Source organism: Homo sapiens, chromosome 2, assembly GCF_000001405.40.
Source record: "Homo sapiens chromosome 2, GRCh38.p14 Primary Assembly".
Taxonomy (NCBI): domain Eukaryota; kingdom Metazoa; phylum Chordata; class Mammalia; order Primates; family Hominidae; genus Homo; species Homo sapiens.
In genome coordinates, this window is record NC_000002.12 from 159175865 (window position 1) to 159188211 (window position 12347).

Genomic DNA, 12347 nt, shown 5'->3' on the forward strand with positions numbered 1-12347 from the left:
GTTGGAGGAGTCGGTAGCGTGGAGCTCTCACGCTGTGTTGGTTGTATGGCTTGGCCAGGGCAGTTTGCCCTGGGCTGGGGGCAGCGAGGGGGTCAGTTTCCCTTCCCTGGAATCCACTGGGGAGCTCTCATGGGGGGACCTAGTGACCTTTCCGGATTGGGCCTCTGTATGTGTTCATTATCTTTGTGTAGCCCACCCCAATGACAGTGGTTTATGAAGAGCTAACTGTGTTATATACACGAGTGAGATTCTGCTAACATGTGTCATGCAATATGTTTGTTTTGTGAGAATTGGTTTTCTTTTGGCTCTGTGCTCCAGTTTTCATTATAAATTTAATAGAAAATATGCTTCTGTGAAAACTGTTTCTTGTGCCATATGTAAACCTTTTTAGTTTCTAACACTAAACTGGGCACTAAAATACACTGGGTGTTGCTGTCTTAGAGAAATGTATAATTTCTTAATTTGAAAAAATTATTTTATCCTGTAGAGCAGAAAATTCCTGAAGAAGAATACATTATTTTGATAGATGGCTTAAATGAAGCTGAGTTTCATAAACCTGATTATGGAGATACGCTTTCTTCATTTATTACCAAAATTATTTCTAAATTTCCTGCCTGGTTGAAGTTGATTGTGACTGTAAGAGCAAATTTTCAGGTAACAAAGAATTCTCAAATCTTTCTCCAAGTCCCCATTCCAATTTTACAGTGATAAATGTTAATAACGTAAAACTGTTGTAAACCATTCAGCTGCTTGAATTGGAAACTATGTTAAGAATTTGAAAAACTAGTCCAGAGAGCCAGACTTGGGTGAAACTCTGACCTTTTTAGCCCCAGGTATATTTATCAAGATGTCAGGTAAGTTTCCTGTTGGCATCGAATTGCACGTTCACTTTTCAAATGGTGGCATCTAGCCCTGGTTACCGTCATGGAGTGTGTGGGGCCAAGAGGCCTGCCAGAGTTTAAAGCTACTCCTGCTGGTAGTTATTTGCAAGGGTTTACTGTGGGGCTTTGTGTTTTTTTGAAGGGAAAAATGAAGGTGAAAGATTTTTTTTTTTTTTTTTTTTGAGATAGAGTCTCGCTCTGTCACCCAGGATGGAGTGCAGTGGCATGATCTCGGCTCAATGCAGCCTCCGCCTCCCTGGTTCCAGTGATTCTCCTGCCTTGGCCTCCGGAGTAGCTGGGATTACAGGCATCTGCCACCATGCCCAGCTAATTTTTGTATTTTTAGTAGAGACGGATTTTCACCATGTTGGCCAGGCTGGTCTCCAACTCCTGACCTCAGGTGATCCACCCACCTTGGCCTCCCAAAGTGCTGGGATTACAGGCATGAGCCACTGTGCCTGGCTGAAGGTGAAACATTTTTAAGGCCTATTCCCAGAGGTCTATTTTTTCACAAAACTTAAGCATGAGGTAACATTTGCAGCGAGGGGTAGGGTGATTTTTTTTTTCTCCTCCATCTTCTTCCTCACTTAAACCCTGAAATTGTGTCTTAACCATTGACTCCTTCTATACCTATCCTTTTTCAGTGAAGACTTTTAGACATTAGGTTTTGATTTTTGCCCTTTTATGATATTTATTTAAAAACAGCATTTGGAATTTTTTCATTATAAAAACTGAAATTAGACCTCAGTTGAACTTGATGCGTGTTTTTTGGACATTCAGTTTGTATATTTTTCAGTCATTTTTTACATAGTAAGCACAATTTGTCCATCAGTAGATCATAGGAACCAGGAATCTTACGTTCTTCTTCCCAGCTGTGTAAGTTTTCAGAGCTTCAGATAGCATCCATGTAAAATGGGAATAATTGTATTCTGCCCTCTTTATCTACATTGTTATATTAAATGAGCACGTGCATTTAAATACTTCAGAAACAATAGTGGGAAGTCTTTTTAAAAAGGCAAAACTCTTCTTTGCTTTTAGGTGTCAGATGTGCTTAATCTTTGGAATGGGGAAGAGATGGGAAGGGCACATGAGGCTTCTGGGAGCTGAGGATGTTTTGTTTCTGGGTGCTGGTTACATAGGTATATTTGACTTAGTGAAAATTAGTGACACTGTGCAATTGTCATTTGTACACAAATCATATGTTCATTGTTAGACTTCAATTTAAAAGTTTACTTTAAAAAAGCAATTCATAAAATAACGTGCTATACCAAAGTAGGCAGCTTTGTTAAGATGCGCTGTCGTTGAGACACAGCCCAGGGGCAGACTCAGATTTCCTGATTGGGTTACACAGCCCCAGTGTTTGCTGCATAAAGAAGGATGTCTTTTATCTTGGCGTCTGGCCGTGTTCTTAGATGTGCAGTGTTGGTTGGTGTTTGTCCTTGTTATATAAGCAGTTTCACAGTGTAAGGATTATGGGTATCAGGTCACCTGCAGAGTCTCACTGCCCTTACTGGCCCTGGCCTCGTTGCCGCTGTCTGCACAGGGCTCTTACTCTGCTTGCTAGGCTCAGGGTCCTTGGATGAGGGCCTCAGGATAGCACTTACTGATTCCATCTCCCATCAGGATTTCTTTCACATAAGCTTTTTATCTTCACCTTATCCTATTACACGTTTTAATACAAAACAATGAGTCCCTGTAATCCATGAAAATCCTCCTTGAAACAAAACTAGTGAATCTGGTTTAAAATGCTGTTAAAATAAAAAAGGAATCTCTTTAGAGTGACACTGTGGGTTTTTGTTTTCTCCCCCAGGAAATCATAAGTGCGCTGCCATTTGTCAAGCTTTCCTTAGATGACTTCCCAGACAACAAAGACATCCACAGTGACCTGCACGCCTACGTCCAGCACAGGGTGCACAGCAGCCAGGACATCCTCAGCAACATCTCCCTGAATGGCAAGGCCGATGCCACACTCATTGGAAAAGTGAGCAGCCACCTGGTGCTGCGGAGCCTCGGCTCCTACCTGTACCTCAAGCTCACCCTGGACCTTTTCCAGAGGGGCCACTTGGTCATTAAGAGTGCCAGCTACAAGGTGGTGCCCGTGTCTCTCTCTGAGCTCTATTTGCTTCAGTGCAACATGAAGTTCATGACCCAGTCCGCCTTTGAGAGGGCACTTCCGATTCTCAACGTGGCCCTCGCATCCCTCCACCCCATGACAGACGAGCAGATCTTTCAGGCTATTAATGCTGGCCACATCCAGGGGGAGCAGGGATGGGAAGACTTTCAGCAGAGGATGGACGCCCTCTCCTGCTTCCTCATTAAGAGGCGAGACAAAACCCGCATGTTCTGCCACCCGTCCTTCAGGGAGTGGCTTGTATGGAGAGCAGACGGGGAAAACACGGCCTTCCTGTGTGAGCCCAGGTACGGCAGGCGCTTTCTTTCAGCTCTTTGCAGGGAATCTCGTGTGCAGTTGGGGAAAGGATTTAAATGTGATGCACGTGTCTCAATGGAAGGGCAATCCAGAATGACTAATTCAGTGTTACTGCTTTGTTTTATTATTTTTCTTCCTTTTTGGCAGAAGGATGGGCAATGGGGAATTCTCTATACAGAAGCTGCCTTCTAATTGCTAGGACTCCCTTATGGATGGTACATGTGGATAAAAGAGAAGCTGGGTGGTGCCTGTGTGGTCCTTCCTTACTGTCCATTGTCTCATGGAGCCCCGTCTCCTCCCCCACCCAGCTTCTGCAGGATCATGCATGGGAATGTGTGAGATCAGCCCCTGGGAACAGGGGGCTTCTCTAGAGGGAGTTCCCTGTGTGTCTGCAGACTGTCATGGGTCCTCAGCACCTCCACTCCCCTGCCACCCCTTGAACATGGAGTGACTTGTCCCAGGGATCAGGTATATCTGTGAGCCCAGAGGGAGCACCATGATCCAATCTAGCCTCCCCGCTCCACACCCTTCACCCTTTGTGGATGAGCTCTGTGTGGTGGACTGGACCAGGCTGGGATGCAGTTCTCCTTGCTGCCTGGGCCGCTGTTATCACAGTGGGATGGGGAAGGAAGCCTGTCTGCTGTGTGGCTTGGTAACAGTGTGAGAGGTCAGAAAGTTTGAGGATGCAGATGCGTTCAGATATGTATATGGCAAGCCCCCAACTTCCACTTGGCCCTGGCTTTGGCCTGTGTCTCTGCTGTCTCGAGTGGCTTCGGCTATCTGTGAGCCAGAATTGCCCCCTGCTGTAGTAACAGGGCTGGCAAGCTGCTCAGCTGACCCCTTAGGCATTTGACCAGATGCTGGGATCCAGAAATGAAGAGGTGAACAAGCATTGGTGAGCCCTGGGAGCCTCACAGCCACTTTCCTCCCTGTGAATATTGACTGAACATCCACCTGATAGGCCTGGCTGCTGTTCATGTTGGGGCTGTTATTATTTTCTTCAGTAACACTGGCTGAAGGTTTGTTGTTATCTTTTGAACCTGGTTTGGGGCAATAAACTAACATCCAGGTTATTTAGCCAGACCATAATAGCTAGGTGAAACATGTGCTGTGACATTTCTAGCCAAGTCAGATTACTTTCTAGGGAAATTCCAGTCATTTTCTAGGAAGATTGACTATAGCTGAGTTTGTAGAGACATAAAAACAAATTGAAAGACTCCATCAGGAGTGTAGGTTGTTACTGGGTTGGAGGCTAAAGTGGCTGGACTGTAGTCTTCATTAAGCTTCGCTTCATTTTGGGTATTGGTGGGCATTGAGGTTATGTAGCCTAGGTCAGAGCTAGGGTGGGTGCCTGTGGGCTCCTGAATGCCACTGTGTTCTTAAAAGCAGGCATGGGGACATCCCCTGGGGCAGGACCTGGACTAGGTGGAGGCAAGAGAGGTACCAAGGGTGCAGAATTTAAGGAAGCACCCACTCCTGGGTGGTGCGAGTTGTTGCCATTTTCCCAAGACACCTGTAGTATTTGAGCTTCATTCAATTGAGAGGATATAGAACAATGTTGGAAGGAAGCTACTGGATTCAGTTCAGCAACAGTTTTTGTTATATGCAGTTATGTGCAAAGTACTGTGGCAGACACCAATTGTTGGGACAAGGACCCTGCTCTCAGGGCTTCCCACACAGGGCAGGGGAGGCAGGAGGTGATATGCGAGAGGGAGGCACACTTCATGTGGACCTCACAAGAGGGAGAAGCTCCCAGCGTAAGTAAAGGGGCCTGGGGAGGTGATTTTAAAACATGGTGATGGTGGGTTGGGCCTCGAAAAATGGTAGCATTTCTTCCCCAACTCCCAGTTGTCGTATTTTTGCCCTAATTATAAAAGCAGAAAATTTCAACCCTCAGACAAAGACAGTTCATTTTTTATTTCTGCCTCTTTCTGTAGCATTTTAAATGATATACCAATCTTCTTTTTCTCTTGGAATTCTTATCTGGGTTTTTGCTTAACACATCACGGGCACCTTACTAAGCTGTTAGAAGTCTTAGAAAAGTGTCATTTTCATTTTTCATGGTTGTGCAAAACTCCTAGGAGGCAAATTATTATGTACTTCACTATACCCTCATTGGATTTTTTTGCTTTTTTTTTTTTTCAGACGGAGTCTCGCTGTCGCCCAGGCTAGAGTGCAGTGGTGTGATCTCAGCTCACTGCAGGCTCCGCCCCCTGGGGTTCACACCATTCTCCTGCCTCAGCCTTCCCACGTAGCTGGGACTACAGGCGCCCGCCACCTCATCCGGCTAACTTTTTGTATTTTTAGTAGAGACGGGGTTTCACCGTGTTAGCCAGGATGGTCTCAATCTCCTGACCTCGTGATCCGCCCGCCTCGGCCTCCCAGAGTGCTGGGATTACAGGCGTGAGCCACTGCGCCCGGCCCCCTCGTTAGATTTTTAAGTTGTTTCTAAATTACTTACAAACAGAACAACCTGTCATGTCTTGGTGCCTTGCAGGTCTGGATTCAAATCTTCCATTGATTCTTGTATATTTTTCTCTGCATGAAATATATTTTAATTCTCCATGCCTTCCTTCCTTATCTATAAAAAATGAGTGTCTTCTCACTGAGTGCTGGTAGCTATTAAATCAGATCTTAAGACGATGTACTACCTCTCTTCTTTCCTTTCTTCTCTCTTAGTTTTGATTATGCCCTAGGTTAGCATTCCAGAAATAGAATTATGAAGATAAAGAATAGTTTGAGTCTGGCCGGGTGCGGTGGCTTACGTGCGTAATCCTAGCACTTTGGGAGGCAGAGATGGGTGGATCACCTGAGGTCAGGGGTTCGAGACCAGCCTGGCCAACATGGTGAACCCAGTCTCTACTAAAAATACAAAAAAAAGAAAAATTAGCCGGGTGTGGTGGCAAGCACCTGTAATCCCAGCTGCTTGGGAGGCTGAGGTAGGAGAATTGCTTGAACCCAGGAGGCGAAGGTTGCAGTGAGTCGAGATCGTGCCACTACACTCCAGCCTGGGCAACAAGAACAAAACTGTCTCAAAAAAAAAGAAAGAGTTTTCATTCATATCACCTAGACTTAAACATATTTACATTTTGCAATATTTGCTACATCTGTTTCCTTTTTTTTTGTTGAAGTATGTTAAATTGTAAACATGACATTTTACTTTAAATAACTGAATATTCATCTTAGAGATATTTTCATACTTAACCACGCTATTACTGCACCTAAAATATTAATGCAAATTCTTAATAATCTTAAACATTTAGCCATGCTCAAATTTCTATTTTTTAGTATGTTCACATCAGGATCCAAAAAGTCCATAAAATGCATTCGATTATCTCTCTTAATCTATAGTTTCTCTCCTCATCTTTTTTTCTTTTTCCTCAAAATTTATTTGTTTAAAAAGGGCAGCTGGGTAGTTCATCCTGTATAGTTTCCCATCATCTGAATTTTGTGTCCTCATGTTTTTTCATGTGTTCCTCTCACCCCTATTTCCTATAAATTGGTAGTGAAGTTTAGAGGCTTGTTCAGATTCTATATTTTTAAACAAGGACACTTAGTAGGTGGTGGTGAGTACCTCTCTCAGGAGGCGCATGACATTGTCATGTCTCTGTAGGCACTAGAAGCCACTGATGACCATTTTTAAGATCCATCAGTTTTTTGGGGTTGCACAGGAAGTCTCATCTGGAACAGTCCCCTATTAGCTCTGTTCTCTGTTAACTCGAGGAGTTAATAGGTATTAGTAGGTAGAACAAGGCTGTTGCAGACAGGAGGAGCTATTGAAGACGTCGCATCAGAATGAGCAGGCCGTGTTCTGCAACAGCAAATCTAGTTTGACTTGACCTTTTTTCATGGAACAGAGGAGAGGAAAGAGCTGGCAGAAGGGAGTGTGCAGGGCACAGAGTGTATAGGGCCTACTATAGCAGTCAGGAGTGGGGACTTGGGGGGACTGGGGTTAGAGACGGGCCTTGCTGACATGAGGTAGCTCTTGTGGCTTGGCCTCATGGGCAGAGTAGAGGAAGAAGAGCCAGAAACTAGGTGTGGCATTGCTCTTGGGAAGGGTAAGAAAGGCAGGTGGTATGTGGCAGGCTTTGCAGGGACAGAGCTGGTTTTAGTTTTCAGCAGTTGAGATTGCAAGATAGCCGTCTGTCCCAGGCAGACAGGTTCCAGCGCCAGGGCGGGTCGGCAGGTTGGAGGAGAAGCTGACAGTTGAAGATCTAGCATCACTGATGGAGAGGTGTCTGGCATGACTCGGTGAGGAAGCTCATGTCATTAGAGAAAAGATAGCACTGGGCTTCCAGGGCGTGGAGGAGGGTTTCAGGGAGGGACCTTACGGATGTAAGTGTTGCCAAGAGGTGAAGGGAAATGACGGTTAAGAGGAAGCCATTGGATTTTCAGTGAGGGAGGAGGGTCCTGGATCCTTAGGAGACTCCGCCTGTTGGGTTGAGAGGAGAGAGAGGAGGGAGCCAGCGTCTTGGGATGGGAGGTGGAAGGGCTTAGGGGGCGGGTGGTTTTGTTTGTTTGTTTGTTTTTTAATAACACAGGAGATTGGAACATTGTCAGAAACATCACTGAGAGATAGTGTGGAGAAAGATCCATAAAGAAGGAGAAATTGGGAATGTAAGGAGGAGGGACCGGGGCCTGAGTGACGGGGCAGGTTGCCTCCTCTTTGTTCCCGTGGAATCTGTTCACAGCACCCAGTTAACTGACTTGCATATCGTTTGCGTGTCCCCTCCCATTGCTTAGAGCTTCTCAATGGAAGCACCTTGCATTGTTCCCCCATAGAATCCCCCCGTCAGACGTGGTGCCAGTGATAAGGTGTAGCTGTGAATGAATGGAGGACTCAAGCTCCGCAGGTTAAGAGCACAGGCTCTCCTGTCTGACCAACTTTAGTTCAAATCTCTGTTCTGTCATCTAGCCATGTGGTCTTGCATAAGTCGCTTAACCTGTTCAGGCCTCTGTTTCTTCATATAAGCATATGGGGGTCATAGTACTTAGTCACAGGATTGTGCAGGTAAATGAGATAATTCAATTAGGTTTCTGCATCTGGCATAGAGTAAGAGCTTGATACCTGGAAGCTTTGGAAATTAACAGAATCATGAATGCAGATTGTCTTAGAAGGGGATTGCTTGGTCTCAAGAACAGGAGGGCAGGGAGGAACTATGGGCAGGGTATGCAGGAGTATAGGTGGGGAGCAGTGGCATGGGGAGTTGTCTCCTCAGAGAGGTGGGATGCCCTGTGCTCAGCTGGGAGCACTGGAAACTTTAGGCCCGGCCACCAAGGGGTGTGTGGTCATCACCCTGTAAAGTGATAGTTAGTGTGTCTTTGTGATGGACACGGTTGGCCTGGCCACAGAGCTCAGCCAACTGGGAGACTTAGGAGGACTTAGCCTGTGGTTGGGAGAGTGGCTCCCAACTGACATGAACTGGGCCAGAATGAATCCTGGGATCAGCCCATGGGTAGGACCTGGGGAGGCCTTGGGGGCCTAGAGCACTAGAGAGATGCTGACAGCGGTTTCCATGGGAATAAGGGAGGAGGGGAATCCCAGGCTCAAGATCTGGGACATGGAAGGTGTTCAGGGAATGACAGGGCATGTGCTCGTGGGAAAACTTCAGGCCATTACAAGACAATGGACGAGACTCAGTGGGCAGTGTGGCCTTAAACGTCATGCCCTCCCCTGTAGTATAAAAACTGATTCCTTGGCCTCCATCTGCCTTGATTTCCTCATCTCTAACACGGTTTATAACCTATTTGAGAAGCAGGCATGCACCTGGAAAGACAAATGCAGTTTAAATAATGCATGCTTTTAATCATCTAGATTAGCAACTACTAGGAGGATGCGTTTTAAAACATATATAATGTTTATCTTTTCCTCCCTCCACAACTACCTGCTTTTCCCCAACCAAACAGCTCAAAGTTGACAGGATGATAGAAATGAAAGTAATTTACATTGCATAGAAGTCACTCCTATTGGAATAAGCAACTCTGTGTGTCATTTAGAAACTAATTGGCTCAAAGGCATGGGATCCACAGGAAGACAGAGTGAGTCCTATGGACATGGAGGGCAAATGGGCAGGATGGCCCTTTCACAAAAGGGAAATGGGCAGGAAAATAGGCAGGATGGTACCTTCACAAAAGGGAAATGGGTGCTGTTGGCTGGATGTCCACCATGTGCCAGCCACAGCAAACCCACTTAGATGCCTTAGCCTTCTTCTCACCACAAGGACTTGTGTGCCATCCAAGCCTAGAATTCTCTGCTTTCTTGATCATGAGCTGTCACCTAGCACGGCCTGGCTTTTCTCTCCTTCCCACGTGAGACCTTGTCCTTTGTCTACCCCTAGTGGTGGTGATCCTGAGGGGACCTGAAGGCTAGGCCCAGGGATGGTTCTGTGCTCTGTGTCTATTCATGCATGCATTCCAGAAACACATTTGAGTGTTCACCAAGTGCTCAGCACTTTGCTAGGCATTATGACTCAGATGAGACCCTTAGCCTCCCGGAGTTTACATCTTTGTCACGGGCATAAATCAGTGACTAAGGCAATGGGTGGTGAATTGAGGGTGGGTCTGCGGTGTGGTGGAATGGGCTCTTCTGCTGTGAGCCTTTGTATTCCTTCCCCTAGGAACGGGCACGCGCTCTTGGCATTCATGTTCTCGCGTCAGGAGGGCAAGTTGAACCGCCAGCAGACCATGGAGCTTGGCCACCACATCCTGAAGGCGCACATTTTCAAGGTGAGATGCACACCAACTTGGGGAAGGGTTTCTTTGTTGTCATTTTGAGGTTTTGCTTTGGAGATTTTAGACAGCTCTGTCAGCCATCCAAGAAACGCTCCATGCACCTCAGCCCAAATGCAACCTCCTCCTGCCTCCCCTCTCCAAAAGTAACCGCTGTTCTGACTCAGCCTGGGCATTTCCTTGCATTTTGCTATAGTTGATTGCTCAAGTGTATATCAGAGTGCTGTGCTTAAGTTTTACTTCTTTCCACCTTTAAATCTCTGATAAGTTTCTTTTTATCTAAAGGTTCCACTTTGTTCATTACTTTTTGTTTCCTTATTATTGATTTGTTCGAGAACCTGAGTTTCTTGACCTGTGTGATTTTGTACCACCTGGACTTTCTGACTGTGTTTGCCCAGGCTGGAGAGCAGTGGTGGGATCATAGCTTACTGGACTCAAGCCATCCTCCCGCCTCAGCCTCCCAAGTAACTGGGACTATAGGCACGCTCCACCTTGCAGGGCTCAGATGGTGATATTCTAATTCTGTCATTTATTCTTCCTCTAATTTACTTCCAACATGGTAAAACCTTGTCTCTACTAAAAATACAAAAATTAGCTGGGAGTGGTGGCATGTATCTGTAATCCCAGGTACTTGAGAGGCTGAGGGATGAGAATCACTTGAGCCTGGGAGGTGGAGGTTGAAGTGAGTTGAGATTGCACCACTGCACTTCCAGCCTGGGCGACACAGCAAGACTCTGACTCAAAGAGAAACTCTCATCTGCCATCTCTCTCCCAAGGCACAAAGTTAACCTAGTGAAGGCAGGCTGGTTCCTTGACCCTTGGTTTCAGGTAGTGAAAGCTCGCATGTCCAGGCATTCTTTGTGTGTGACCCCGTGCCTTCTGCAGGTATCTGCACCCTCTGCGGCAGACCCACTTTCAGAGTGACCCTGCAGGTGGGAAGGAGATGCTCAGGCAGATCTGTCTCTGATTGTTTCCAAGATCTGTCTCGATTGTTTCCAGGGCCTCAGTAAGAAGACGGGAATTTCTTCAAGCCATCTCCAAGCCCTGTGGATCGGCTACAGCACCGAGGGGCTGTCCGCCGCCCTGGCCTCTCTCAGGAATCTCTATACTCCCAACGTGAAGGTGAGCAACCTTCTGCACAGAGAGCCGGAGACCCAGCCCTGGCCGGCTGCTGGCCGTTCCTCCAACAGCCCTGTTTCCCTCTGCCCTGGGTGGTGGTGAGAGGACGCAGAGGAGCTTCTAAAGATGTGCTTCCCTGATCACACGGGCTTGGGTGCTGTATTACTCGTTCTTCCAGAAGTTTAGCTTTTCTTTGGCAGGAAGATGTGGGTGGTCAGGGCTGCTCTGAGCACATGTGGTGACTGTTTCACAGCAGATGTGATAAGGAAGCAATTTACAAAAGAAATCAAAGATCAGAGAGATTTCTAGGGAAAACGGATTTTTTAAGTGTCCTGCGTTACTAATCTGGACCATCTCTTCAGAGTTCATGGGAAATTAAGCATGGATGGGTGATGCATAGAGATAAGTACACAGAAAAACAAACATCGAGGTTTCATGTATCCATATTTCTGCCTATGGAAAGGGTATCAGCATGGCCTTCTGTGGAGCCAAGAGCTTCTTCACTTCTTGGTCAGTGGCTTTCATGTCATGATGTTCCACTCAGCTTTTTAAGGTAGATTTTTCTTCCTGATTTCATGTAGCCTGGGAATCTGAAGCACACAGAGGCCAAGCAGCCTGTTAAGGCCACAGAGACAGTGTCCAGGCCTTTCAGCTTCAGGCCCTGATGTACCCGGCTGCCTGTGGAAGCCCTGGGTCAGTTTAGGGAGCCAGGTCTTCCCCCCGAATCACTCACATTGTTTCATCTTTCATTTCAGCTAAGAGTGTATCTCTCGGCTTCTCCATAACTAATAAAATTCTATAATCATAAGAAAGATGAGAATAAAAATGGCAATATGTTTTCATATGTTAATGAATTTCTGGGCATAGAATTTATTTTAATATGGAAATAAGTAAATGGGAAACATCTGTTGAGTACAAGTTTTTAAGACAGTAAATTTAAAGGTACTGCATAATAGTGTAATGAGCATGGCCCTCCTGAGATTATAAACTTTGCTCTTTAACGTATGTGCGATTTTAAGAGTTAATCATTTTTACTTTGTTTTGTAAAACTCCAGTGTCACCTACATCTACACCATCTCCGAAATTATTTCTATAATGTGGTTATAGAATCTTAAGTCTTTTCATTATCCTTCTGTTTCTTTTATCTTTCAAGGGGGGAAAACGGTTTTCACAGGATCTTGAACAAATTA

The 12347-nt window shown here is 45.9% G+C and overlaps 1 protein-coding gene and 1 non-coding gene across 41 annotated transcripts in view, besides 2 other annotated features; both read left to right on the top strand.

Annotated features, from left to right (window-relative positions):
- The window catches only part of TANC1 (tetratricopeptide repeat, ankyrin repeat and coiled-coil containing 1), a 264020-nt gene that overhangs the window by 207225 nt on the left and 44448 nt on the right, over positions 1-12347 (top strand). For all 40 annotated transcript variants that reach the window (NM_001350065.2, XM_047446107.1, XM_047446108.1 and 37 more), the window contains 4 exons: positions 488-654; positions 2692-3299; positions 9927-10035; positions 11038-11160. In NM_001350065.2, coding sequence (NP_001336994.1) covers positions 488-654; positions 2692-3299; positions 9927-10035; positions 11038-11160 — 1007 coding nt within the window. The remainder of the gene's footprint in view (positions 1-487; positions 655-2691; positions 3300-9926; positions 10036-11037; positions 11161-12347) is intronic.
- Positions 9738-9907: an enhancer, noted in NCBI's record as "experimental_53569 CRE fragment used in MPRA reporter constructs". NCBI's record gives its function as "activates a minimal promoter by MPRAs in K562 erythroleukemia cells, with activity observed for both the introgressed and non-introgressed 2:160042198 or rs17494014 variant alleles {active_cell/tissue: K562}" and the evidence as "EXISTENCE:reporter gene assay evidence [ECO:0000049][PMID:34662402]".
- Position 9823: a transcriptional cis regulatory region, noted in NCBI's record as "Neanderthal adaptively introgressed variant 2:160042198 (GRCh37/hg19 assembly coordinates) or rs17494014 in the experimental_53569 CRE". NCBI's record gives its function as "modulates activity of the experimental_53569 enhancer by MPRAs in K562 erythroleukemia cells {active_cell/tissue: K562}" and the evidence as "EXISTENCE:reporter gene assay evidence [ECO:0000049][PMID:34662402]".
- On the top strand, positions 10971-11037 carry MIR6888 (microRNA 6888). Its single transcript, NR_106948.1, has one exon. It is a non-coding gene; the product is annotated as a microRNA 6888 (primary transcript).